The sequence below is a fragment of the Homo sapiens genome, chromosome 1, assembly GCF_000001405.40.
Source record: "Homo sapiens chromosome 1, GRCh38.p14 Primary Assembly".
Taxonomy (NCBI): domain Eukaryota; kingdom Metazoa; phylum Chordata; class Mammalia; order Primates; family Hominidae; genus Homo; species Homo sapiens.
Genome location: NC_000001.11, coordinates 18,288,895 through 18,314,331, shown reverse-complemented (window position 1 = coordinate 18,314,331; position 25,437 = coordinate 18,288,895). Strand labels below are relative to the sequence as shown.

The window sequence follows — 25,437 nt, the reverse complement described above, 5'->3', positions numbered from 1 at the left end:
AGTCCTGAGACAGACTAGATATTTTCTTTGTTTAAAAAAAAAAAAACCACTGGGCTATGCTTATGAGGAAGGCAGATGCAGGAGAATAGGTTTATCAAGGTGGTTTCAGTTCCACTGTAATTTAAAATAAATAAGTCAATTTAATGTTTATAGAGTGAGTTATGCCTTATTAGGGACACGGTGAGCTGAGAAACTTGGCCAAGGCGAAATTTGAGAAATTGGCCCCGGCCGTGAGAGTAATTACAGCAATGCTTCAGTGTGCAGCCTTGCCCAATGATATTTTCATTCTGTCTAATTTATTAGTTTATTAGCTTTATGGTGGATATAGAAAGTTATATCACAACATGGGCCTAATTTGATCAGAGCCAAATTTTCACGTCTTCCTGAGACGGCTGTAATAAAGGAAAAGACCCCCTGCTTCAAAACTGTTTCCAAGTTTTCCAGAAAGATTCAGGGCAGAGTTCCAGGGCTCTGGGTCCCAGCACTGCAAATCTGAAAGGTGAGAGAGCGCAGTGGCCCAGAGTGCAGGCCAGTTCTAAATACTGGCTCCTCTGCTTTCTAAGTATGTGGACTCAGGCAAGCACTCGGCAGGTCTAGGCCTCAGTTTTCTCATCTGTAAAATGGGAGCAATATTAATCCTTATCCAGGTGGAGATGGAGAGCCCTGTGTAACCAGAGGCAGAATTGCTCACTGCTGTCTCCCTGGAGCCCAGCACAATATCTGGCTCACAGCAGGTATTCAGAAAATGTTAGCACATAATCATCACCAGCCCCCTATCCTGCATACCTTGTGCCAGTTCTAAGAGCTTTATTAACTCATTTAAGCCCCATGAGCCCTCTGCAAGATAGACACTATTATCATCATGTCCATTTTAGAGATGGGGAAACCAAGGCATGGAGAGATGAGTGACTTGCCTAGGATTCCACAGCCAGGAAGCGGCAGAGCTGGGATTCAGAGGCTAGGAGCCTGGCTCCAGGTGGCTCTAACATCTCACTCTTGTCTGAAGTGTTCCTTATGTTTTAGCTTTATTATCCATAGCAGAGACCCAGTTCCATGACTGGTTCCCTGGAAGGGATCCACCTGAGGTGGGGCAAGGGCAAGCCTCTCTCATTTGAAGCCCGAGACCTCCCCGAGTTTCTTCCCCTCCCTCACCTTCCTCCCGGCGGTCCTCCCTGTCCCTCTGCTGGGGCCCTGTCCTCACCGGTCATGCACGGTACCCGGCGGGTCTGCTCGGTCCAACAAATGTTCAGGGCCAGGATCAGCCCTGGATGGTGGGGGTACAGGGATGAGTAAAACGGGGCTCTTGCCCTTCAGGAACTCAGGCCACATTCCTGAGCCCCTGCTGTATGCCAGGCCCTGAAGAGGGAACTAGAGACACAGAAAGAAAGAAGAAGGCAGTCCGTGTTGCAACAAGGTCACTGTCCAACAGAGGAAGCAAACTTGGACATGGTGAGTGATTGTCACAGTGATAACCACAGCTGTGGTATGTAATGCATCCTCCTGCCTCAAAAATGCCCACGTTCAAATCCCTGGAACCTGTCAATGTTTCCTTAGTGGCAGAAGGGGCTTTGCAGGTGTGATTAAGGATTTTGAGATGGGGAAGATTATCCTGGACTACCCACAAGGATCTAATATAATCACAAATGTCCTTATTGGAGGGAGACAGGAGGGTCGGAGCGGGAGGGGATGTGATGATGGCAGCAGAGGCCAGAGCGATGCCATTGCTGAAAGAGGCCACAAGCCAAGGTATGTGGGTGGGCTCTAGAAGCTGCAAAAGGCAAGGAAGCAGACTGTCCCCTGAGCCTCCAGAAGAAGCACAGCCCGATCAACACTTGGATTTTAGCCCAGTGAGACTCATCTCGAAGTTGTGACATCCAGAACTGTAAGATACTAAATTTGTGTTATTTTAAGCCACTAAGTTGGTGGCGATTTGCTACAGAAGCAATAAAAAGCTAACACAACAGTTAACGTTGACTGAGTTCCTACTGGGCTAAAACCTAGCTAAGCACGACCTATCTCAGTGAATCTCCTGACAATTACCCCTGCTCCTGCCAGTAGATGCTATTTTTGTTTTCATTTTGCGGATTCATTTAATTCATTCATTCAACAGATATGCATTGACTGCCTCAGGCAACCTACCAGGTGCTAAAGATGGAGCTGTGATCAGGAGACCAGAGGAAACTTGATTTCTAGTGCAAGAGGGAGACAAGAGATGGGCAAACAAGTGAGGATGCCGTGCCCACCCCTAGGCAGAGATACACGCTACGGAGAAGCAGAAGGAAGGTGAACCTGGTGATGGGGTGGCATTTTGGAGCAGATGGTCAGGGAAGGCCTCTCTGGGGAGGTGACACCTGAGCAGAGACCCAGAGGGACCAGAGGAGGGAGCTGATATTGTTTGGCTGTGTCCCCACACAGATTTCATCTTGAATTGTAGTTCCCATAATTCCCATGTGTTGTGGGAGGGGCCCGGTGGGAAATAATTGAATCATGGGGGCTATTCCCCCCACACTGTTCTCATGGTAGAGAATAAGTCTCACATGATCCGATGGTTTTATAAAGGGAAATCCCTTTCACTTGGCTCTCATTCTCTCTTGTCTGCCACCATGTAAGATGTGCCTTTAGCCTTCTGCCATGATTGTGAGGCCTCCCCAGCCATGTGGAACTGTGAGTCCATTAAATCTCTTTTTCTTTATAAATTACCCAGTCTCGGGTATGTCTTTATTAGCAGCGTGAGAACAGACTAATACAGGAGCCATGTGGACACTGGGCTTCCTCCTGGAACAATCCAGGTAAAGAAATGGATGGCAGAGAGGTGAAGACACTTGTTCACATGGTTTCAAAGACCAGCTCCGCCGCTCCAGAGCCTGCAGCCTTCACTGTCACAGAATGACAGTGGAGTCTGTCCAGAATGACCAAAGTGCAGAGACGAAGCAGAGGGAGGGCCTGCTGAACTTGGCCAGGGCAGATGTGCTTGGGGAGGCTCCTGGGGACAGTGATTAGTCTTATGGATGGGGAGGGGTTTGCCAGGCAGAGGTGGCAGGTGCTGCTTCTGCAATGTCTGGATGGGGAGAGGCATGGTGGACACTTTCAGAAACAGGGAGTCATCCTTGCAGCTGGGTCAAGAGTGGGGGACACACAGGATGTGGGGCACCTGGGGCTCTCATATCCTGCTGGCAGGGATGTGAATGTGTACATGTTCTTTGAAACTGTTAGGCGGTGTTGTAGGGTGAATTGCGCTCCCCACTCCCAAAAGATCTGTTGAATCCTAACCCCTGAGACCTGTGGATGTAACCTGATTTGGAAATAGGGTCTTTGCAGATGTAATCAAGTTAAGATAAAGTCAGGCTGGAGTTGGGTGGGCCCTAATCCAGTGACTGTGTCTTTCTAAGAAGGAAATCTGGACAGAGAGACAGACACACAGCGGGAGAACGCCGTGTGATGATGGAGGTGGAGTTTGGGGTGATGCATCTACAAGCCAACGAATGCCAAGGACTGCTGGCAACCACCAGAAGTGAGGAGAGGCAAGGCATGACTTTTCCTTGGAGCTTTCAGAGGAAGTGTGGCCATGCCAACACCTTGATTTCAGACTTCTAGCCTTGAGAACTGTGAGAGAATACAGTTCTGTTGTTTTAAGCCTCCCAGTTTGTGGCATTTTGTTACAGCAGCCTTGGCAAACAAGCACAGGCAGCATCTCTGAAAGCTGAACATTTGCCTTCCCTGCACCCCACACGTCCTCTCCAAGGGATACCTCCAAGAAAAATGAATGCTTACATTCAAAGCAGCTTTACTTGTCATGGCTCAAAAACTGGAAGCAACAGCTCCAATGCCACTCCACAGGAGAATAGGTAAATAAACTAATAAGGTCCACGCAGTGGAGTACTACGTAGTAATGAAAAAGAACAAGCCACTGCTACGAGCAACCACATAGAGAAATCTCCCTGACATTCTAATAGTCTAAATTAGACTTAAGGAAAAACTAGTCTAAGTTCATACAAAAGTCAGAATAGCACCTCCCTCTTGGTGGAAGGAAACCTCATGAGGGGCTGAGAATGTTTATCTTGACCTGGGCAGCTGTGTGTGCATGGATACCAACTCCTTTATAAAGCCCTTAACTGTGTGTATGTTATATTTTAACATAAAAGGAAAATAAATTGGTAGGGATTCCACAGTAGAGAGCCTGGAAGGCCTCACCAAGGCATCTGTTGGTTCTGTCAGCCTTCATGAGGCTGGGGATGGCGGGGTGTTGAGCAAAGGAGGAGGCACATGCAGCCACAGGCGGGACTGGGGATCTTTAGTGGTGTGTAAAGGGAGCTTATGACAAGTCCAGAGCCCCCTTGGCCCATCAGCAGCTAGAGCAGCTGGCAGGGCCTCCATGCACCCCCCAGGGCCTCGTCGGCTGGCATCACAGTCTGGGTAGGTGGGGGAGAAACAGAGCAGGAGAGCTAATGGTGTGGAGACTCAGTCCAAACTGTCTCTCCCTCCCCTGCTAGCCTCTCCTAATCAGCTCACTCTGCCGGTCCTGCTCCGTTTCCAGCAGCTCCAGCCCTCCCAGGGCACCCTGGTATTTCCTCTGTCAGACCGCAGCACCTCCCTGCTGACTGCTGCCTCCCACACTGGCAGAGGGCAGAGGCAAAAGGAGGCCGGCCCTCAGCAGCGGCTAGAGGCGGTGGAGAGAAGGGTCACCCAGGGTGCAGAGGACTGGGCTCCCTGTCATGGAAAGTGCAGTGCAGGGGCTCAGAGAGGCCCACATTGTCAAAGGGACAGATGTGGGGTTCTCCTGAAATGAACTTCCACGCCAATGGGGAAAGGAGGGGGTGTGGTCTAGTGGAGAAGGGCCAGTACCCTAACCTGACTGCCTGGGTTCAAATCCTGGCTCTGCCCCTTGCCAGGTGCCTAACCTAGGGGAGGGCATTGAAGCTTTTGATGCCTCAGGTTTCTCATCTGTGAAATGGGGTTAACAGTGGCATCCCCTCCATGGCTGAGTTCTCACATGTAAGTGCACTTGGCTTGGCACACAGTAAGCCCTAGACCCGAGTGTGTGTTATTATTAGCAAACAGTGGCATCATTGCCCCTAGGGTGGCTACAGAGATGAAATATGCCTTTATATTTCCTTTCATTCCCCAAAGGGCAATGACAGTAGCATTTCCACTTGGAAGCCCTTTGAGGGCATCAGGCCCACAGACAAACTCCCTACAGCTACCTCCTCCTGTTTCTCAGTGGCTCTGCTCGGGGCAAGCTGGGGGCGGGGAGTATGGGGGTATGCAGTGAGGGGGCTCTCACCCAGCTGGTGGAGCTCTGAGGCAGAGCTGCATCCCCTCCTTGGAGGTAGCAATATGAGTATGGGGACCTGGTGCCACCAGGTGCCAAGTGGCTCCCACTTCCCAGCAGCTCCAGGCTGCACCTGTGAGTGCCCTGGCCTGGGCTTGCCAGGCCCCACTGCCCTGATCTAGCCTGATGCCCGCCTTGAAATCCAGGGTCTCTTCTGCAGGCTGCATAGGTCCTGGGCATGGACTCAGGCTCTGCTGGGCCCACAGGTCTCACAGGTCATCAAGGCCATCCTCCTGCCTTCCCACCACACTCAGGTCAAGCCAGAAAAGGGGGCTCCTGCTGCATGTCTGAGTCTCCTGGGGGAGGTCAGAAGTGGAGGAAGCCCGGGCATGGAACACACATATCCTTGGCTCCCACAGCCCATTCTGGAGCTTGCACACTGTACTATAACTGCCTCATTACATGTCTGTCTGGGCCTCAGTTTTTTAATCTATAAAAATGGGACATGGGGCATGAGCTGCCTCAAGGGGTGTTGTGGAGCTCAAAGAGAGAATCCATGTAAGATATTTAAACCGTACAGGTGCTCTGCAAACCTAAACTCTTTGTGTGTGTGTGTGGAGGGGCTCTGGCTTTTTCTATGACCCAATCATCCCGCCGCACTTGGCCTCTGGTGCATCAGAGGTGCTCACTACGTGTTTGCTGAATGAAGAAATGAACAGGATGTCCAGTGATGTCTCAAGGCCAGAAGGTGGATAGGGCATGGGCTGCACTTGGAAAGGCTGGCCAGGGAGAGGAGCCAAGAAGCGGTCCCCTAGAAGCAGAGGGAGAGGCCAGATCCCCCGTTAATTCTTCTGTTCCCTCCTCACCTCTTTGTGCTGAGCTCTGTGGGAACCGGGGTGAGCGTTTGGCGGTGATGAGGGAGATGTGGACATGGCCCCTCCCTCCAGGAGCCACAGACTAGTAGGAGGAGGGGGACATTCACCAAACCATGGAAGAGAGAGGCTCATGAGGTCACCCAAGGGAGCAGGGTGTCCCTTTAGGGGCCGTTGGGAGGGTCATCTATGATGCGATGACCTTTTCTCCTTAAGATGACGATTGCATTTTATGATGTGACAATTGTTCCATCCAGGAGAATAAGCATGTAAGTTCTGAAGCACAGCATGAGCAAGGGCCTGGGGTCGAGCCCTCCTTTACTTCATGGACTGTGCACGAGATGCTGGCTTAGGCACCCTGAAGATGAGAACCACTACAGCCCTCACCGCAGCTTAGGAGTCAGAATTGTGATTCCTTTTACCAATGAAGGAGCTGAAGCTCTGAGTCCTGCCCAGTGTCACCACTGATAGCTCCCGGCAGAGGCCGACCACAGCTGCCTGTCTGCCCGCACGTGGCCAAGGGTGATGGGGATTGCGCATCCCCTTTTCCCAAGCCTGCTGGAGCACTCACAGGGCAGCGATGGACAGCCTGTGCCCTGTTGCTGAGTTTTCACCCAGCAGGCGGGTTTGAATCCCGGCTCAGCTGCTTGCCTGCTGTGTGACCTTGGGCAAGTCACTTAACCTCTCTGAGCTCCATCTTTTCATCTACAAATAGAAATCATAACAGGACCTGCTTCGTTGTAACATTGTGAGGATAGATGAGTCGATGTGTGTAAAGTTCTTAGAGCAGAGCAGGGCATATGCTAGGAACTTGATAAACATTACTGTGAGCACTGTTATTATTAGTCCTCAGATCTCAGGGCTCTTGCTATATCATCGCTCCCATGGGGGAAGCAGAGGTCCAGGGAAGTTAAATTAAAGTGTTCGAAAGCCCCTGGCAGGGTTGGGGAGGAGGAGGGAGAGTTATGACTGGACTTAGTCCCATGGTCCCCACAAAATACTCAACATGCCCAGGAACATTAACCAAGCAGGGGAAAAAAAAAACAAGACATGGCCAAACAAATGCCCTGTCAAGGAAGGAAATATGTAATCAATTAACTGAGCCTCCCCAAACCTCTCCAAATAATAATTAGGAGTGTCAGCCCAGCTCACAAGGAAATTGCCATTGAGAGGGCAGGCCACTCCCCTGAGAATCCAAATGCGAATACGCAGAACCAATCGGCTGACTGGGTTCCTGGAAGGTGGCAGGTTTTCAGCCCCAGTCCTGGCTGTGCCTGGAGCCTGGTCACCCTGGGGCCTGGTCTATTGCCTGTTTCTCTCAATCGTGCACCGAGGAAGGGGCCGATAAGTGAAGCTGAGGGGGCTTCCCATCATCCAGCACAAACACATTTGTGCATTGGACAAAAAGGAAACTGAGGCTCAGACACATTGTGTGACTGGCCAGCTCACCCTATGGCTCTGTCACAGGATCAGGACTAGAACCCAGGCCTCTCTGCTCAATGCCAGCTGATGGCCCAACAGCCAGGCCCTCTGATCAGGAATTCGCTTATCCGTATATGAAATCTACATTGGCCCCTGACTAGGGAGGGGCTGCCTGGTGCCATTCTGAAAGCTAGGGGGACAGAGGAGGGGCAGGGGGACCAAGTCTTTATCCTCGGGGTGCTTGATATGAGAGGGAAAAAGGAAAATGTATATTCAGATAAATAAATGAGTCTTACTGGGTAGTAATCAATGCTTTAAAAAACAAGCAAACAAATCGGATCAATGGGTTAAGAATGATGGGACACAGGGGTGGGAAATTCTGGGTGGAGGTGAGGCAGTCAGGGAAAGCATCTCTGCAGAGGGACATTTGATCTGACACCAGGGTAGAAGAAGAATGTATCTGGCAGAGAAAAAGCATGAGTAAATGTCCTGAGGTAAGAACAAGCTTGGCGAGAAGGCCAAGGTGTCCGGAAGCTGATGTTTAGGAAGCTGAAGAGGGAGAGGGTAGGAGATGAGGCTGGCCAGGTGGATGGGGCCGAGCATACAGGGTATCCTAGGCCTGATGGGAGACTGGGTTCTATCCCAAGTGAGTGGGAAGCCCATGGAGGGCTTCAAGCAGCAGGTGACCTGATTTCACTTTAGAAAGCTCACTCTGGCTGCTGGGTGGGTGTAGAAGAAACTCAGGTGGCAAGAAGCCATGATGCACAGAGAAAGGACCTAAGTTGTGAGCTGGAAAGAAAACTATAGCTCTTAGCTGGACATGAGGAAGGCTGGCCCCTGTCTTAGCTCCATCGCTACTGGGATATGTGACCTCAAGCAAGTTACTCAATGTGTCCGATCATCTCCTTCCTTTCTGTAAAATGAGGACGGCTTCCCTGCCCTGCAGCTTTGTGCAGTGTTGCTTCATTATCTCAGTTGAAGTCTGTTATTTGCAAATAGAGGCAATGGTACATATTTTGTACAAATGGCCCAATGGTCCACCAACTTTTATTTCTGTCATTTCTATCAATGGCAAGTTTTAGATGACTTCTTTTCCTTGACTAAGATTTAGGTCTGCAAAAACCTGATGATTCATCTGGAAGCTCATCCATCCATCCATCCATCTATCCATCATCCATCCATCCATCCATAATCCATCCATCCATCCATCCATCCATCCATCATCCATCCATCCATTCATAATCCATCCATCCATTCATCCATCCATCCATCCATCCATCATCCATCCATCCATCCATCTGTCATCCATGCATGCATGCATCCATCCATCCATAATCCATCCATCTATCCATCCATCATCCATCCATTATCCATCCATCCATCCATGCATCCATCCATCCGTCCATGCATCTATCCATCTATCCATGCATCCATCCATCCATCATCCATCCATCCATTATCTATCCATGCATCCATCCATCTATCCATTCATCCATCCACCCATCCACCATCCATGCATCCATCCATCGATTCATCCATCGTCCATCCATCCATTATCCATTCATCCATCCATCCATCCATCCATCCCCTTCCCTATCTCTTATTGAGTGCTTACTGTGACCTCAGGCAAGTCTCTTAACCACTCATCTTCTGCCCTCTCTCAGCCTTACTTTCCCAGGAACTTCAGGCTCACCAGACCTTCCCGATCATCCTCAATTCCACCTAACCCTCACTCCCTGAAACACAGTTATCTTCCAAGGCAAAGATTCTCCCAGAACTGGGAATTTTATTAGATTGCCATAATATATTAAAGAAGGTTTGAAGCACCTGGAGCAAATTCTAATGTGAAGAAATACCACGGCAACAAATACTTTATTCTGAACTGTTTACTAAATTGGGTCTTTCCTGGACATTTTTAGCCTTCAATTTTTTTAAATACCAGCAATAAAGCACTTGCATAATTAGTAATAAAGCTGACAGCCTGGTTACTGATTTTTTACTTAGAAGAAGGAAAAGGATAATGTGTGTGTGTGTGTGTATGTGTGTGTGTGTGTGTGTGTATGTGTGTGTGTAGATAATTTCCAACAGCTCTGGTTTCCTGACTGCAGACATAGAAATGATTTGCCATATCAGCAATTCTGCCCAGCAGGCTGCAGGTCAGGGGGAAGCTGCATTGAGCACTGTGGAATGGAAACAGTTCTCCTTTAGGAGTCAGAAGTTGACTTTTGATTCTGCGGCTGGCTTGCTGTGTGACCTTACGGAAGTCATCCACAGTCTCTGGGCCTTGGTTTCTCAGGTGGAGAATGAGAGGATTGGCCTGGGTGATGTCTGAAGGCTGCCAGCAGATCTGTCCCGAGTCTGGAGGGGATGGTGGCTTTAAGTGGCATCCGTGTGTTGGTGGCTCCCATATTTGTATCTGTGGTCACAACTTCTCCCCCGCCCTGTGTTTCCACCAACCTACTTGCTGGCTGTGCTCAGGCATCTAACAGACATGTCTAATCTGATTCAAACAACTCGTGAGTTCTGTCCTACACCCTCAGCCAGAGCAAGTCTTCATCAGTCACCTCTTCTCAGGAAGGAGCCCCTCTCCTCCCAAATGCAATGGCTATGGCCCTAGGGGCCACGTTTAACTTCTCTCTCACTTTCTGGTGTCCCCCTTCCAGCCCATCAGCGAGTGCTGCCAGGTCTGCTTCCTAATTCATCCCCATTTCTTCTCTCCACCTCCGCCTGTCCAGCCCCATCACACCCCACCCCAATCTCCCTGCTTCATCATTTGGCAGTGTAAAACTCAAACCGAGGTCAATTTCAATGACTCCTCATCACTCTAAGAATACAATTCAAGTTCTCTCTAATGACCAAGGATGTTCTATAACAGTGGTCCTCAAACTCACCTGCAGATTGGATGATTTAATACATGGATGCCTGTGTCCCTCACCCTTGCTGACCATATCCAACCTCTTCCTGGCAGAGCCCCACTGCCTCCCCACCTCTCTCTGTGTTGCTAGCATAGCCCTGGGAATGTCAGCTCCATGGGGACAGAGAACTTACCTGTCCTGCTCATCTCTGTCTCCCGATGTCTACAGTTAATAAACAAACACTTCTAAAAGGACGAATGAATAATTAAGTCAAGCCCTTACTTGAGGTGCTTGAAACATGCCAAAGTGCATTCAACATCGGAACTAACTTCCCATTACTCCCCCCAGGGTGCTTCCTGGCACTGGGCTACAATTCCTGATGGCTGATTCTGGGTGAAGATGCTGTCTCTGGAAGGCCCCTGATCAAGGCAAGCCACTACCCAGAGGTGGGAACAGGTGACCCCAGTGCCCCCACCCTATTCCATGAGCATAGGGCTCAGCCTCCTCAGCTGGGGAGGCTGCCGGGGGAGGAAAATTCTGCCTTAACGGGGAGCTCTCAGCTCTTGTGCAAGTCGCTTCTCTTCTCTGGGCTGCACCTGAGCCCCCTAAATAGAGTCTGAGATCTGCACTGCACAGGATGGTTGCTAGGGTTTGATCAAACAATGGGTGGGGAAGAGTTTTGCTGAAATCATAATTCCATATTTGGATAACCTGACAGCCCATTAATTTAACGAGCCTTTCCTGAGACCCGTTGCTGGGCACTGAGAACCTAGAGATGAATAAGGGAGGGTCCCTAGCCTTGAGAAACAAGACCCATCCTTGGTGGTTGGGGGCCCCAGGCAAGACGCCCCCCACCAAATCCGACCCCCAGCCCCCAAGTTGCCATACCCTAGTGCATCACCAGAGGGCAGCAGACAGCTTTGCAAGTGCTTCCCTCCCTGGGGAGCTAGGCTGGTGTCAGAAGGGTGTGTTCTGGGAGTTCCAGTGGCCTCCTTGTGGGTCCAAGGTCAAATAGAGAGTGGGGGAAGGTAGGTAGAGAACTCAGTGGCAGCTGTGGATGCAACAGGGATCATCTCAATTCCCTGCCTCAAATGTCTTCACTAACCCAAGACCCAACCAAGGAGAAATACCCCTGACCCTCCTTCTAAATTGGAAACGGGAGCCTCCTTGAAGTTCCAGGGGCCTCTGGGGCATCAAGATCTGGAGTCTGTGTTGCAGGGGAGATTTGAGGACCACAGAGGGACTCCTAGCCAAGAGATGCAAGAATGCATGGGGAGAGAGGGAATGAAAACACCGTGCAAGCCTGTGTGCACAGGATGGCAGGAAAAGGGCACCGCAATAGGAAGTGGGCTCTTGGAAAGGGGGGAGAGAAAGAAGAGAAGAATATCATTCTAAAAAGGAAAATCAAAGACTGAAAGTCAAGGAACAAGAGGAGAAGAGTGTCCACCTTCAGTAACAGGAGGTGGAGAGAGTTAGGGAGATGGTGCCGGTCCTCTGTGGAGCTTGCTCCTATGCATGAGGTAGGAGCCATGGAGAAGAATCAGCCCTGCCCTGTCTGGGCTGCTCATGGCCTTGGTGGAGACAGTAGACATGCGAGTGGACAGGTGGGAGCCAGCAGGAGAAGGCTAAAGTGGAATGCATGGGGCGCTCCCTGGGCACAGCAGGCAGGTTCAATTCTGCCACTGGGGAGAGGGTTGGGGAGGGCTGCTGCGTCAAGCTGAGCATTGGAGCTTGGGCCTGGAGCACCTTTGGGCTTTGAAAAGGCAGAGAAGGCCAGGCAGCCCCTGAAGAAGGAGAGAAGAAGTGGGAACCTGAGAGGTCAATGCCGGTATGGGGGAGGCAGTGAGAAGGTGCCAGGGGCAGGGGAAGATGGGGAGCAGGGGAGTGTGCCCAGCTCCATGGGGACTGAGGCGGAGCATTTGAAACACATTAGGTTAAACAGATTTCTCCTCTAGTCAATGGAATTGATGCTACCAGCCAAGAGAGCAGAGAAAATGCAGGGCACTGGCTTCCCAGGTCCCTCTCCCAGAGCCAAGAGTAGGCATCACTTGCTCTCCCTGGCTGTGGCATCCAGGGGCCTGGGACTGCCAAGCTGTGGCTCTTTTTAAGGTGATGACTGATCCTGGCAACTTTCTACTTGGAGGGACCAAGCATCCTGGGTAGATCCTCTGTGTACACACGCACATGTGTGTAGGGGTGGAGAGACAAGCTCACGTGTCAGTCTCCCCTACTAAGTGACCTGGCACAGGGTGGGCATCAATTACTGTTTGTTGGGGCTGGGCACAGTGGCTCATGCCTGTAATCCCAGCACTTTGGAGGCCAAGGCGGGTGCATCACTTGAGGTCAGGAGTTCGAGATCAGCTTGACCAACATGGTGAAACCCTGTCTCTGCTAAAAATACAAAAAATTGGCCAGGTGTGGTGGTGGGTGCCTGTAATCCCAGCTACTCGGGAGGCTGAGGCAGGAGAATCTCTTAAACCTGGGAGGCAGAGGTTGCAGCGAGCTGAGATCGTGCCAGTGCACTCCAGCCTGGGCGACAGAGCAAGACTGTGTCTCAAAAACAAACAAACAAACAAACAAACAAACAAACAAAACAATTACCATTTGTTGGATGACCTGCTCACCATGCTCCATGGCCCAGGGGCCCCACAAGTGGACCTGGCTCCAATGGCCCATGGAGTGCCACAGCTTGGGCGTTAACCCAGGCTTCCCACTGCACGACCTGCTTGACCTTGGACAAGTGACCATTCCTCTCGTTCTTCCATGTCAGCATCTGAATAACAGGATTCAATGAGTCTGAGATCTGTGCTCCACAGGTTAAACCAGATGATGGGTTGGGAAAGAGTTTTGCTAACTGTTTGAAATGATAATTCCACATTGGAATACAACCCTTCAGCCCATTGATTCGACAAATCTTTACGGAGGCCCTGGGCATCTATCCCAGGAGCTGGGCTGAGCATGGAGGACCCAGAGATGAAGAAGGGAGGGTCCTAGTCAGAGAGATGAGAACCAGGGAGGAAGGCTGAGAGCAGATTCCTGCAGTCTGAGCGGAGCGTTGCTCTGGGACCTGACAAAGGGGGGCCCCCCTTTCCTAATTAGAGCTCTGGGGGTAGGAGGCCTGGGATTGGGTCCAGTGGAACTTCTAGCTGGAAAGCATGCGCACACTCTATCTCTGGGGAGAGTGTCATGGCCAGGGAGCTACAGAAAGAGCATCTTGCTCCTGGCCTTCCCTTTGGCCTGCAGGCAAGGCCTCACTTCCTGAGGAGTTTAGCCCAGGGTCTGGCCAATGAGTGCACCACACATGCCAGCTATTATTGCTTTGCTAATGACTGGCAGCCCAGGTATGCGGGCAGCTCAAGCTCCAGGGCTGGCTGGTGCCTGTGAGTTCACTCTGGCCTCAGGGAATGGACTCTTAGGTCACTGGCTGGCCTGGCTATTTCATCATCTTCAATTAAAAGTGGTCTGGCTTTAGGGGCCTTAGAATAACCACCTGTTGGCAGATAGGGACCAGCAACAATTAGAATTATCTATGCCTTGGTGCCGGCCATTGAATTCTTTGACCCCAGTGTGCACATCCGAGCAGGTGGATGGGATTGTGTGAAGCGGGCTTTCCAAATCTCACTGCCCATATCTTAACCTGGAAGACTTTTTAGCAAATGAATTCCAGGTTCCCCAGGTCTTGCTCTGGGCTTGAATCAAATTCTGTCTTGGTGGAGCTCAGCAATTGGTATTTTAAAGCAACTTCCAAGGTGATCCTGATGCAGGCAGTCAGTGAGCTGGCCTGTGGTATAGACACCACCAGTGGGTGGCTTGTTGCTCAGTTGATATGTAATTTTATATTTATTTATTATTCTAGAGAAGAAGTCTCACTATTTTGCCCAGTGTGGTTTTGAACTCCTGAGCTCAAGTGATCCTCCCACCTCAGCCTCCCAAGGTGCTAGATTACAGGCATGAGCCACTGGCCAGTTGATGGGAAATTTAAGGCTGCTGAAGGCTGCTGAGCATCCCCCTAGTGGCTGGGAGGAGACCTGCAACCCTGTCTTCTAAAATCACCCCTGATTTTGAGAGGGGGACCAGGTTCCCACTTGGGGTGGAAAGCCAGGGGCTTTCAATTCTAATGCTAAGAGGCATAATCTGTTAAAAACAATAAAATAAACAATTCCACTCTCTCTCATTCACACTCCTGGATGAACTCTGGGTGGGAGAGAGAGGAACGGGTTTCCAGCAGGTCAGGAACTGAGCGTATTCTTGGAGAGTTAGTTTCATAAGGGCAGGGCCTGTGTTTGTTGTTGCTGAGTGCCTGGCAACAACAACGTGTGTTTGCTGAGTGGTCAAAAGAATCAATAAATGAATGACCACTTCATGTGGCAAGCAGCACCTGTTAGGTATATTTTAGAGAAAGAAGACGTATGCTTCATGAAAATATACAGAGGGAGAAGGGAGCTGGAGAATTCAGACTTTGAAATCAACGAGGGTCAGATGGCACTTTTCTTTGTATCAACTGTAAAAAAAGAGTTTGGTCTCCACATGAATAGATTGTAGAAGGATCATTTAACTTTTCAAAGGGAAACAAACCCCTCTGCTCTTTGAACCAAACAGTTAATGTGCCTATTTAAAAATCAATCCCTTATTTTTTTCATTTGAACAGATTCCAGAGAGCTTCCGCTTAGAAGCCATTGTCTGCCCATAGAGTGGTCTTGCCACTACTTGGTCAATTTCCTCTTGCCATGCCTTTGCACACATGGGGCCCTCTGACCAGAGAATCAGCTCCCAGCTCCTCTTTGTCTAAAACCCACTGATGCCTCTAGAACCACTTCAAATGCCAGCATCACCCTGATTTCCCCAGTCTCTGCATCTCTGATTCATCATTGTATTATATCTGAATCTTCTCTATGACAGCGATCACTTTATTACTTGAATTGTTAGCTATTTATCTCGTGTTTTATCTCCCCTTTCTCTCTTTTCATTCCACAAATATTTATTGTTCCTTTCTAAATGCCAAGTAGGTCCTGGGGTTACTGAGATGAAGAAGATATAGCTGAGCCTTGGAGGAGCTTATAGGCCAACGGGCGTGAAGGGAGAGGAACAGGCTGTAAGCTCCGAAGAGGCAGGGGCTGATTTTAGCCACTTTTGTGCACCGTAGCTATGTGCCTCAAATGCAGCCAACGCTTATTGTGCACTGTTGAGTGTACATGTGAACCGATGCACCTCAGAGTAATAAAGGAAGTGGCATTTCTTCCAGCGCCCTGCATTCTCAGCCTCTTTTTTTCATTTACTCCAGCTCTCCCGAGTCTCCCTCCTGATAAACATACATCAAAAGGTGCAGCCCAGCATTGGCTTTCTCTACATGGCCCCCAGGTCCACCCTGCCCCGCCCAGCTGTTCCCCACCACCTGTGGCTTTCAGGATGCTTCAGGAAATGGAAGACACAGCATGTGTGTGGGAGGAGTGGTTGAAGCCTCGCTGTGATTCACCCGGACCTCCAAGGAAGTCACAGCTGCCCTCTGGGATGGCCACATTCCATGGGGAGGGGCTTCAGGACACGCTACCTCAAATACGGCACCTTGGTATATTGAATACTTTATACCTGGAAGTCAGATTCCAGGCTCCTCTGTGGACGGCTTTGTCTTCGTTCCCTGGCACTTCCAACCCACCCTCTCTACCCAGGAACTAAGGTGAGCTTGACAAACCGCATATCAGAGCATGCCATACCCTTCAGCAGCTTCTAGGGCACAGAGAGTGAACGTCAGCTGACCTCCCCATTCACTGTGCTCTGGTGGCAATGGCCCTCTGTCAGCTCCCAGATCACACCAAGCTCTTTCTCACCCCAGGACCTTTGCACTTGCCATGTCGTCTACCTGGAGTGCCCTCCCAAGCCCCAACCTTGCCTGGCTGGCTTCTTATACTACAGATCTGTGCTCAGATGTCTCCAGATTCCTGGAGATACATTCCAGGTATCTCCTATGAGGAGCTGTGCAATGCCCTCACTCCATTATTCTCACCCCTCTCTATCACATTTCAGTTGGCCTTCCGGATCCATGGGTTCAGAATCTGCAGATCCAACCAACCGTGGACCAAAAATATTCAGAGAAAAAAAATAATAATGCAACAATATAAATAATACAAATAAAAATATAGTATAACAATGATTTACCTAGCATTTACATGATAGTAAGTATTATAAGTAATCTAGAGATGCTTTAAAGGATCCAGGTGGATGTGCGTGGGTGATGTGCAGATGCTGTGCCATTTTATATGTGGGACTTGAGAATCCTAGGATTGTGGTATCTGCTTGGGGGTGTCCTGGAACCAATCCCTCATGGATCCTGAGGGACAGTTGTACCTTATTCCCTTCACCACACTCATCACACACTGTAACTGTTTTTCCTTATTATTTTAAAGGCATTTTTGTAGTGTGTCTCTCCTCACCCACTAGATCAGAAACCTCCCGAAAGCAGGTCTGATTATGTCTTGTTCACCACTTTATCTCCATCATTGTCCCTGATATATGGTAACTACTCAATTCCTTTGTGATGAATGAATGATGTGAGTGTTGGGGGAAGGAACGGGGGCCTGGATGTTCCTTTCCTAAGGTGTCTTGTTCATCCACCCCAGCAGCAAGTGTTGCATTGAAAGGACTCCACCACCATGTTCACCACGAACTCATTCACCCCACAGATATTTACAAATCATCTACCACATGCCCAGGGTTGGGTGCTGTCCTGGGGGTTGGGGAGAGGATGGTGGTGAAAACATCAGACCTAGTCCCTGTCCTCATGGGGCTTCCAGTCTAGTGGGGGGGCGGGCAGACTCTGAAGACATAGCATCAGTCGGTGAGCTTGAGCAGTTGGGGCTGACTTCCTGTAGGAAGCAACCTTTAAGCTGAACTTGAAAGGACAAGTAGGACCTTGTTGGCAAAGAGCATTGGCCAAGGTGTTGGAGGGATCTGCAATAGCAGGTCGGGGGCAGGAATACACTGAGCCCCTCGAATCTAGATTCCCTGCACCAGTGAATTAAGGCCAGTGAAATCTGTCCAGTGTTCCTCATCGCTTCCTGAGCAGATCGAATGGGACAAGGGCCTCAGGGTGCTTCAGGAAATGGAAGACACAGCATGTGTGTGGGCGGAGTGGTTGAAGCCTCACTGTGATTCACTTGGACCTCCAAGGAGGTCACAGCTGCCCTCTGGAATGGCCACATTCCATGGGGAGGGGGTTCAGGACACGCCACCTCAAATTTGGCACCTTGGTATATTGAATATTTTAAGCAGATGGAATTTGAGAAATGGCAGGCGCAGGAAGGACTCTCTGACCTTTCCCTGAAGCAGGTCACAAGACCTTCACGTGAGAGGTTCCCTCTCTGTACCTGGAGGAAGGCAGCATCTTCACTTCCAAGGGATCTGAACAAGCCACCCTGCTGAGTGTCCCCAGTTTACTGCCCTTAGCTCAGGTCCTTCTATCCTTCACACTTTCCCATGACTCCCCACCCTTCATCCAACCCAGCAAAAAACACTCAGCTAGAACCACTTCTGTGGGTCTTCATTTCCTTATAAAATCTCCTGCATCACCTAAAACGTATACAAACTAGACTTGTATCCTTTTGTCTTGTGAATTCGTCTTTTGCTACCGGGGACCCAGCCAAGAACCTAGAAGGGTGGAATGAAGAGTAGACCTTGAAACAAGGATTTAGGAGGAAAGGGTTTATGTGAGAAGGGGTCCCAGGAAGCTGATGGAATGAGCTAGAAGGGAAGGAAGCCAATACGGGTGCCTTCTCAAGGTTATTCTGGGGGGTCACTGAGAAACTCCGGGAGAGAGTTGACAGCATTCATCCCATAGTTTCTCAATGTCCCCCCTTCTTATCCCATTTTCTAATTTTACCTATTAGGAAACACCCCCAAGGGGCCAAGGAGCATACCCAGAACTGCCCGCTCATTTTGCACATTTCATTATGCACCCACTGTGTGCCAGGCCCTGGGCTGAGAGCTGGGCATACGAGGTGAAGGAGGAGCTTGTACTTTGTCCTCCTGAGCATGCATCTGAACTGTCCCCCTGGAGGGACGAGGGGGCTGGGTATGCACCCAATAAACAGTCATTGGTCAAGGCTGCTCCCGGGGTGGCGTCAACTCCCCGGCACTTCTCACCTTTCTCATGTGCAGGCTGAGTGGTCTCCAGTGCCCTGAGAAAGCCCTGTGGAAGCACCAAGGATGCTGGCACTGCCAGGAAGAGCGAGGGGTAAGAGGAAGTGGGCAGGGTGGGATAACTGTCGGCCACATCTGCCTCCTCCCTTTCACAGAGGGCTCCTTCCTGCCCTCAGTTCTCCACCCAAGTGCCACCTTCCTCGATGGCCCTGCCTGACCACCCATCTAAATGGCACCCAGCATCTCATTCCTTCCCGGTACTGCACCCCACTTGCCCCTTCATTACACGCCCATGGTTTAGAATCACTTCTTTGCAGAATGTGGAATGATGTATTCATCTACATTTTGCCATGTCTCTCCGACTAGATTGCAAAGCCGTGCTTTTCTCATTCCCCCTGTATCCCTGGGCACCTTCCACCAAGCCAAGGTCCTAGTAGGTGCTCAACTAAATAGCCTTGGAGGGAATACATTCTTGTCAATTCCAACCTGGGAGTTCTGGGCTCTGGGGCTAAGACCTAGAAAAGCATTTGATAGATGTGCCTCTGGGACGCTCTATCCAGAGAGGCAGTGATCTGTCCAAGGTCATACAACCAGGGATACACACCTGCACCCCCTGGGGGCAGAAGTCCTGATGATCCACCCGACTTCCATCCCTCCAGGGCCCCATCAGTGGGACAAAAAGCTCCAGGAGTCCTTGGGGCTCCTCTAGGCTACCCGCGAAATTGCTCTCAGCCAATTCTTGGTAATCTTCTCAGTCTCATTCTCTCCCTACTTTCCCCAGCTGAAGAGGAAACGGCTCAGACAGCTGTGGAGCTGGGACTCTCTCTCGTTGAGATGCATTAATTTGTAAATATCTTCATTTATATGTAAATGCGGAGTCCCGCGCCCCGTCGCCAGCCCTGATGGGGCTCTGCAGCCTGAAGAGGCAGTCGCCCCCAGCATGGCTGGTTGGGAGGGCTGACAATCCTCCGTGATCCCGTTAGGCTCCAGAGGGTCTGCTCCTTCCTTCCCTCTCCCTTGGTGGTCACCAAACAGGACGGCTCAGCTCCCTGGGGTGTTCTTTGCTTGGGAGACCGCCCCTGTTACTGAGGCTCAGGGAGATTGGCCCCCATGTGGGGAAGAAAAGAGCACTGGCTCCTGATATCAGGCTTAAGTCAGGGCCGCTGTGTGACCTCAGGCAAGCCTCATTCCCTCTCTGGGCCTTGGCTTCCACAACTGAAAAGCAAGGGGTCTGGTCAAGTTCATGTCATTCCAGAGGGAGACTGTTGGGCCTGCTGAACTTTGACCTCTTCTGTAGTAAGAACAGGGCTAGAGAAAATGATTAATAATAATAATACCTGCCTGCATTCATGGGGTTGTTTGTGCAGATCAAAACAGAAAGCGCATAAAAGGAGGCTTTATGAGATTTGTAAAAAGGTGAATTTTTTTTGTTTTGTTTTATGGTGGGAGAAGGAGAGGTTGTTCTAGGCAATGGCAGCAAACATGTACCACTTAGAGGCCGGAAACCAGCACTTCACTTGAATGCACGCCATCAGCTCCTCACAACTTGCAGCTAGCCTCTTAGTGCTGTCATGTTACTTTGGAGGTCAGGAAACTCAACTGTGGGGTTACCAGCCCCAGATTTCACTAATGCCAGGATGTGGAAGAGGCAGGATTTGAACTCAGGCTGTTGGACATAAATTTCACTGAAATTCCACAATTGTACAAAGCCTGTCATGTCAAGTCTGCTCTACAGGCGAAGGACCTGAAGCAGAGAGAGAGAGAGGTTAAGGCTCTCATCCCAGGTCATACAGTAGGCAGAGACTGAGCTGGGATTTTCATCTGGGTCTTCTGGTAGCAGGGCTTGCCCTTGAGGCTCCAGGAAGCAGGAGAGGGTGGTGCTCAGGAATGTTCTAGATGGTCCCTGGGTTTCTTTCTTAGCTAGAAATCAGAACCAAGGAGTCCTAGAGGCCTTGCTGGTGGCAGCGGGTGGCTTGGTGAGGAAAGAATTCTCAGAGACACAGTGACCGGCAGGGGTGGGCTGGGTGGCATTAGGCTTCTGGGAGTCGTGGAGATTATTTGGGAGTTCACTTACTACAAAACCATCTGTGGTTTCCAGAATAGCTATTTTCTCCAAAATGAATTTTTATCTCCTTTTTCATCTTGATTGTAACTGGCTTGTTTTAGGTGTGCTTTAATATTTTAAGGCACCATAATTTCTTTTTGGAAGCAGGTTCAGGAGAAATCATAACTAGGGGGATGAAGGAGTTTGTGCGGCTGTTCACACACCTCTTCACACACCTTCACGTCCACATTCTCAGCATGGTCCTGGCACAGAGCCCAGAGAGGACGAGGACCCAGCCGGGCCGCCTGGGGAGCACACTCACCTTCCCATTTTTACAAAAGCAGGCAGAGGAGGATGCCTGGGTCAGATTCTTGATGCAGGGTTGGACTTACCCTTTACAATCTTCTTGTCCCGCTTTCTAATTTCACCCAATAGAAAACAGGCCTGAAGGGCTGAGGAGTGTAGCCTGAGTTGTCCACTCATTTTGCAAATTTCATTATGTACCCACTGTGTGCCAGGCCCTGGGCTGAGAGCTGGGGATGCAAGGTGAAGGAGGAGCATGTGCCTTGTCCTCCTGGAGCTCACGGTCACAGAGACCCACAGCCCGTGCTGGAGAGTACGGCTTCCCCCTCCTCCAGGCTCAGTCTAAAGACAACACAGTACCAGGCACTAGCTGAGACATCCACATAGCATGGTGCCACAGTGCACATCATGTGGGCTTGCCGGGGCTGCAGTCCCCCTCACGGTACCCGATGCAGCACGGTCCCCCTCCAGCTTTGGAGCAGACCACTACTTTCAGGCTGGGCACCTGGCAAAGCATTTGGCGGTGTGGCGTGGAAGAGTGTGTGTGTGCAAAGCTGTGCACTCTTCATGAATGCAGTGAGATTCCCTCTGAGGAGGGGTGGGTACTGGGGCAGTTGCAGCCGACCAGCTTTGGGGGATCAGTTCAGCTAAGGTGAGGGCTCCCATGGGTGGAATTGCTGGAGTGGGGTTCTGAAGGCTGATGAGGAGTTTACCAGATGACCGAAGGGAGAAAGGCCCTTTGAGAAGAGGGACCGGTGTGTGTTAAGGGTCAAAGGGATAAAACAGGACTAGGATCTTGTAGGGAGTTTGTGGGAAGGAGATAGAGCCACACACATAGAGAACAGCAGGCTCTGGAAGATCGAGTCAGCTTGATTCTGCCACCCGCCTCCTGGAAAACAGGGATGGGGTAGGAAAATCAAGCATCTCCGACTTGAGCACTGCTCCTTCCCACCCTGCTGCTTCTGACCTGGGAGTCCAGTTGCTTGGGGTCATTCTCTCTTAAGCTCGGGGCCCTTATGGCCTTGGAGCACACAAAAAACAGTAGAATGTGGTGTTTGAGCTTCCAAGCCGGGCAGAACTGCTTCACCGCCCAGCGGTGTCATTGTTGCCTGTGTGACTTTAGGCCCATTGCTCCCCCTCTCTGGGCCTCAGTATCTCACTTGGAAATAAATGGAGTTTGGAATACCCACCTTCCAGGACTGTTGGAGGAGCTGGCAGAGGAGGCCAGTCAGAAGAGCGGTGGCCTGGCCCTCTCCTGCCTCTTCCCTCCAGGGGATGTCCCTCCAGGGAATGGGTCCCACTTCCATAAGGGGAGCCCCCAGTTCTGCCTTCCAAGCCCAAGAGCACCGAGGGATTGATGTGAAAGGGCTGGAGAACTGCCCTCTGCCCCACTCCCCATCCCTCCGCCCTTCCCCCGCTGTCGGCCCGCCACCCCCAGGCACTCACCTCACAGTGGACTGGTACACCAGGTCCTCTCGCTTGCGGTAGTTCTCCATGTGTGAGTAGTTGGTGGAGAACATGGCGTCGAAGGTGAAGATCTTTTGCTTGATGGTGCCACCATCCGTCACCTGCCACAGAGCACAGAGATAGCCACACGTGAGTGCTCAACCGGCCCTGGTCACCCCTTTCCCCAGGACACTGACAAGATGCAGGCAGGAAGCCCAGAAGAAGGACAGCCCCCATCCTGAGAATAAGGTAATAACCGAGGGCTTCCTGGAGGCAGCGATGTTTTAAGTTGCCTCCTGAAGGAAGAGTAGGAGCCAGCCTGGCAACGGGTGGGAGTTTTCTAGGCAAAGGGAACAGCAAAGGCCCTGCGGCAGGAAAGAGCAGTGTGCGCTCAGGGGAAGCTTGCTGCCTTCACAGCACCTGGAGAAGAAAGGAAGTGGGATGAGAAGAGGCTGCGAAGAAAAATGTGGGCCAGATCATGGAGGGTCTCCACAGCAAAGGAGCTCAGCTTCTCCTGAAGGCGGTGGTCCCCGGGGCCAGGATTAGATTAGATTTACAAGCTCCTCTGGCTATAGATTGAGGATGAATCGAAAGGGGCAAGACTAGAGGCAGGGAGCCCGGGAGGAGGCCAGGAATCCAACATCCCGGCACGGGCGATGCAGACGGGGACAGCGTGGGGCACTTGCCCTCGTCTTGGGATGGGCCAGGAGAGAGGACATGAAGTCCCCATTTCACCTAAGAATGCGGAAGTGGGAGAAGGCAGGGAGGTGGCGATGAAGCCAGCGCTGGAAGCCCAAGGCTGCCGGGCTGTCCCGCTGTTCATGGCTGATGGAAAGCGAACCCAAGCGTCCGTGCCCTCAGCTGCCGCCCGCCTGCTTCCCCACATCTGCGCTGCCTCCAGCTAATGAAAGTGTTACTCCACGAAGCAGCAAGGTATGTGTTGTCACTGTTTCAATTATTTATCTGTTTACTCGGCTGCAGTTTTTCCGCTTGTCTCAGCAACTCTATTATAGACTGGGAGCTTGCAGCCTCTCGCAGCTCAGCTGGGCTCTGCGCTAACAGCCTGCAATGGGGAGGCCTCATGCCTGGGCCTAGAGAAGTGGAATTAGCTCCCTGCGGCTCTGTGTGGTGGAGGCAGCGGGGAAAGGGGCAGGGAGGGGGCTGGCTAGGGACGGGTGACTCCAAGGGGCTGGGGTAGGGGGGATGCTGAAAGCAGCTTCCCCAGGCAAAAAGGTGAGGATTGGAGTGTGAATCTGTCCCCCTGTCACCTGCCTGGGAGTACTGGCCCTAGACACAGCTGGGCTCCTCTGGACACATATGTACCCAAGCTGACTTGGACCACATCTCTCTGACCTAGGTGGTGTTGCTACTGGTTTAGGAGAGACTCCGTGCATCTGGCCAGCACTGGTTGAGCAACCAGCTGTGTGCAGACACAGGCTACGTCTGTGCCAGTCACTTTCCATAGCCTGCAAGCTTTGTAAAGAGTAAGGTGGCCTCTGTGAGGACGGGGGATGGTTAGAATCATGAGAAGGCCTTCGCAGGCTCTGGGACCCTGAGAGGAAGCGGCAGTGAGACTTCCCAGGGCACGGCTTCTCCTTACCCCTCCGTAAGCCCACACCCCTCCTATCTCTGTCGGGACTTAGCGACATGTACACGCGTCACTTTCTTCCCCTCTGAGGGCTTGGCGCTTTCTGACCATGTGCAGAGGGGAGACAGAGGACCACTTCCTCCCACCTGGCTGCTTCTGCAGCACAGGCCCAGCTTCTGAAACGGGACCATGAGAGTGGAGGAAGATGAGGAGGACGGGGACAGGAGGATTCTCCTCTCCTCTTGGGATCCCTGCTGGCACTCACCCCAAGAAAGATGCTCACCCCAACCAACCACACCTTGACTCTGCGTCCACTGTCATCACCCAGAAGAATGTCCCTGAGTTGACTGTGTCCAGCTTGGCATGGGGTGGAGAAGAGAGTTGGCTGTACTTGGGATCAGAGCTTCCATCTCCCCACATCCCAATGTCCCAGCCTGGGGTAGAGGCCAAGACCCTCCAGGGGCTCCCCATTCTCCATGCACCCTCTTCCCATCCCCGCCTCACCCATTTGACTTTTTTACAGCCACCAAAGTACCTTTAAAGCAGGGCCTTTTCACTTGGGGGGTGATTTTGCTCACCCTAACCACCAGGGGACATACAGCAAGCTCAGGAGACATTTTTGGTTGTCACAACTGGGGAGGAGAGGTGCGGTTTGGTAGGTACCAGTGTCTAGCTGATAGAGGCTAGGAAGCTGCTGACCATTCCACTATGTCCAGGACAGCCCCTTGCCCCCCTCCCAAGAATTATCTGGCCCCCAAATGTCAACAGTGCCCAGGTGGAGAAACCCAGTTTTAAGCCCATCACATTGTGTGGCTGTACCAGGTCCCTGGGAACAGAGCCGAATAGACAAGAATGTTCCCATTTTGCAGGTAAAGAAACTGAGGCTTGGAGAGGCAAAATGATTCGGCTGAGGCCCCACACTAGGTTCCTGACAAGCGTCTGGCTTCTGGACCAGAGTTCACATCCCATCCCATCAGGCTGGAAGAGACTGCGGGTGAACTGAATGCCTCTCAACGTCCCTTTCCACCCCTGGTGGCCAGGCTCATTAGGAGAAAGGATGTCAGAATCTCAGTGGAGGTGTGAGGATTTTTCTCCCAAAGTCATAAAGCGGAAGGCATCCTGCCTGTTTAACTGGCAGCCCGTCTTCTGGCCTCACCTCCCTTCAGGTACTGCTTTTTTATCTCCTCCTAAAATGCGGCAGCCCTTATCGTCCCAATCTCAAATTTCACTCCATTTTTTTTATTACACAAAAGAGAAAAAAATCTGTCAGTAAAACTGTCTCCTCAAATTTATTCGCCGAGACTGAGGGTTTTATTACGAGGAAAATACACCCACACCCCACACATCCACACACATACCCACACACCCCAGATAAAGCACTGAAGAATTATCCGAGTCGTAAATCTCTGTTTCAGGCTGAGGGACAGGGGAGTTTCAAGGACGAGACTAGTTTTCCTTTGGTTTTATTTACATCTGTTTCTCTGGGGCTGTGTCAGGGCCTCACT

The 25,437-nt window shown here is 51.1% G+C and overlaps 1 protein-coding gene and 1 long non-coding RNA gene across 5 annotated transcripts in view, besides 5 other annotated features; one reads left to right on the top strand and one right to left on the bottom strand.

The window, feature by feature from the left end:
* The window catches only part of IGSF21 (immunoglobin superfamily member 21), a 270,686-nt gene that overhangs the window by 64,152 nt on the left and 181,097 nt on the right, over positions 1 to 25,437 (bottom strand). For all 4 annotated transcript variants that reach the window (NM_032880.5, XM_011542319.4, XM_017002604.3 and 1 more), the window contains one exon: positions 22,345 to 22,466. In NM_032880.5, the coding sequence (NP_116269.3) occupies positions 22,345 to 22,466 (122 nt within the window). The remainder of the gene's footprint in view (positions 1 to 22,344; positions 22,467 to 25,437) is intronic.
* Positions 7,411 to 7,568: a silencer, noted in NCBI's record as "fragment chr1:18633258-18633415 (GRCh37/hg19 assembly coordinates)". NCBI's record gives its function as "represses an EF-1alpha promoter that drives an FKBP-Casp9 reporter gene in an ReSE screen in phorbol 12-myristate 13-acetate-treated (for megakaryocytic differentiation) K562 erythroleukemia cells {active_cell/tissue: K562(+PMA)}" and the evidence as "EXISTENCE:reporter gene assay evidence [ECO:0000049][PMID:32094911]".
* Positions 13,590 to 14,217: an enhancer, noted in NCBI's record as "H3K27ac-H3K4me1 hESC enhancer chr1:18626609-18627236 (GRCh37/hg19 assembly coordinates)". NCBI's record gives its function as "activates a minimal SCP1, AML or CMV promoter by ChIP-STARR-seq in primed H9 embryonic stem cells {active_cell/tissue: H9 hESC(primed)}" and the evidence as "EXISTENCE:reporter gene assay evidence [ECO:0000049][PMID:30033119]".
* On the top strand, positions 16,001 to 25,224 carry LOC124903863 (uncharacterized). The gene is made up of 2 exons (XR_007065516.1): positions 16,001 to 23,277; positions 24,802 to 25,224. It is a non-coding gene; the product is annotated as an uncharacterized LOC124903863 (long non-coding RNA).
* Positions 16,222 to 16,747: an enhancer, noted in NCBI's record as "NANOG-H3K27ac-H3K4me1 hESC enhancer chr1:18624079-18624604 (GRCh37/hg19 assembly coordinates)". NCBI's record gives its function as "activates a minimal SCP1, AML or CMV promoter by ChIP-STARR-seq in primed H9 embryonic stem cells {active_cell/tissue: H9 hESC(primed)}" and the evidence as "EXISTENCE:reporter gene assay evidence [ECO:0000049][PMID:30033119]".
* Positions 17,041 to 17,927: an enhancer, noted in NCBI's record as "H3K27ac hESC enhancer chr1:18622899-18623785 (GRCh37/hg19 assembly coordinates)". NCBI's record gives its function as "activates a minimal SCP1, AML or CMV promoter by ChIP-STARR-seq in naive and primed H9 embryonic stem cells {active_cell/tissue: H9 hESC(naive and primed)}" and the evidence as "EXISTENCE:reporter gene assay evidence [ECO:0000049][PMID:30033119]".
* Positions 19,703 to 20,590: an enhancer, noted in NCBI's record as "H3K27ac-H3K4me1 hESC enhancer chr1:18620236-18621123 (GRCh37/hg19 assembly coordinates)". NCBI's record gives its function as "activates a minimal SCP1, AML or CMV promoter by ChIP-STARR-seq in primed H9 embryonic stem cells {active_cell/tissue: H9 hESC(primed)}" and the evidence as "EXISTENCE:reporter gene assay evidence [ECO:0000049][PMID:30033119]".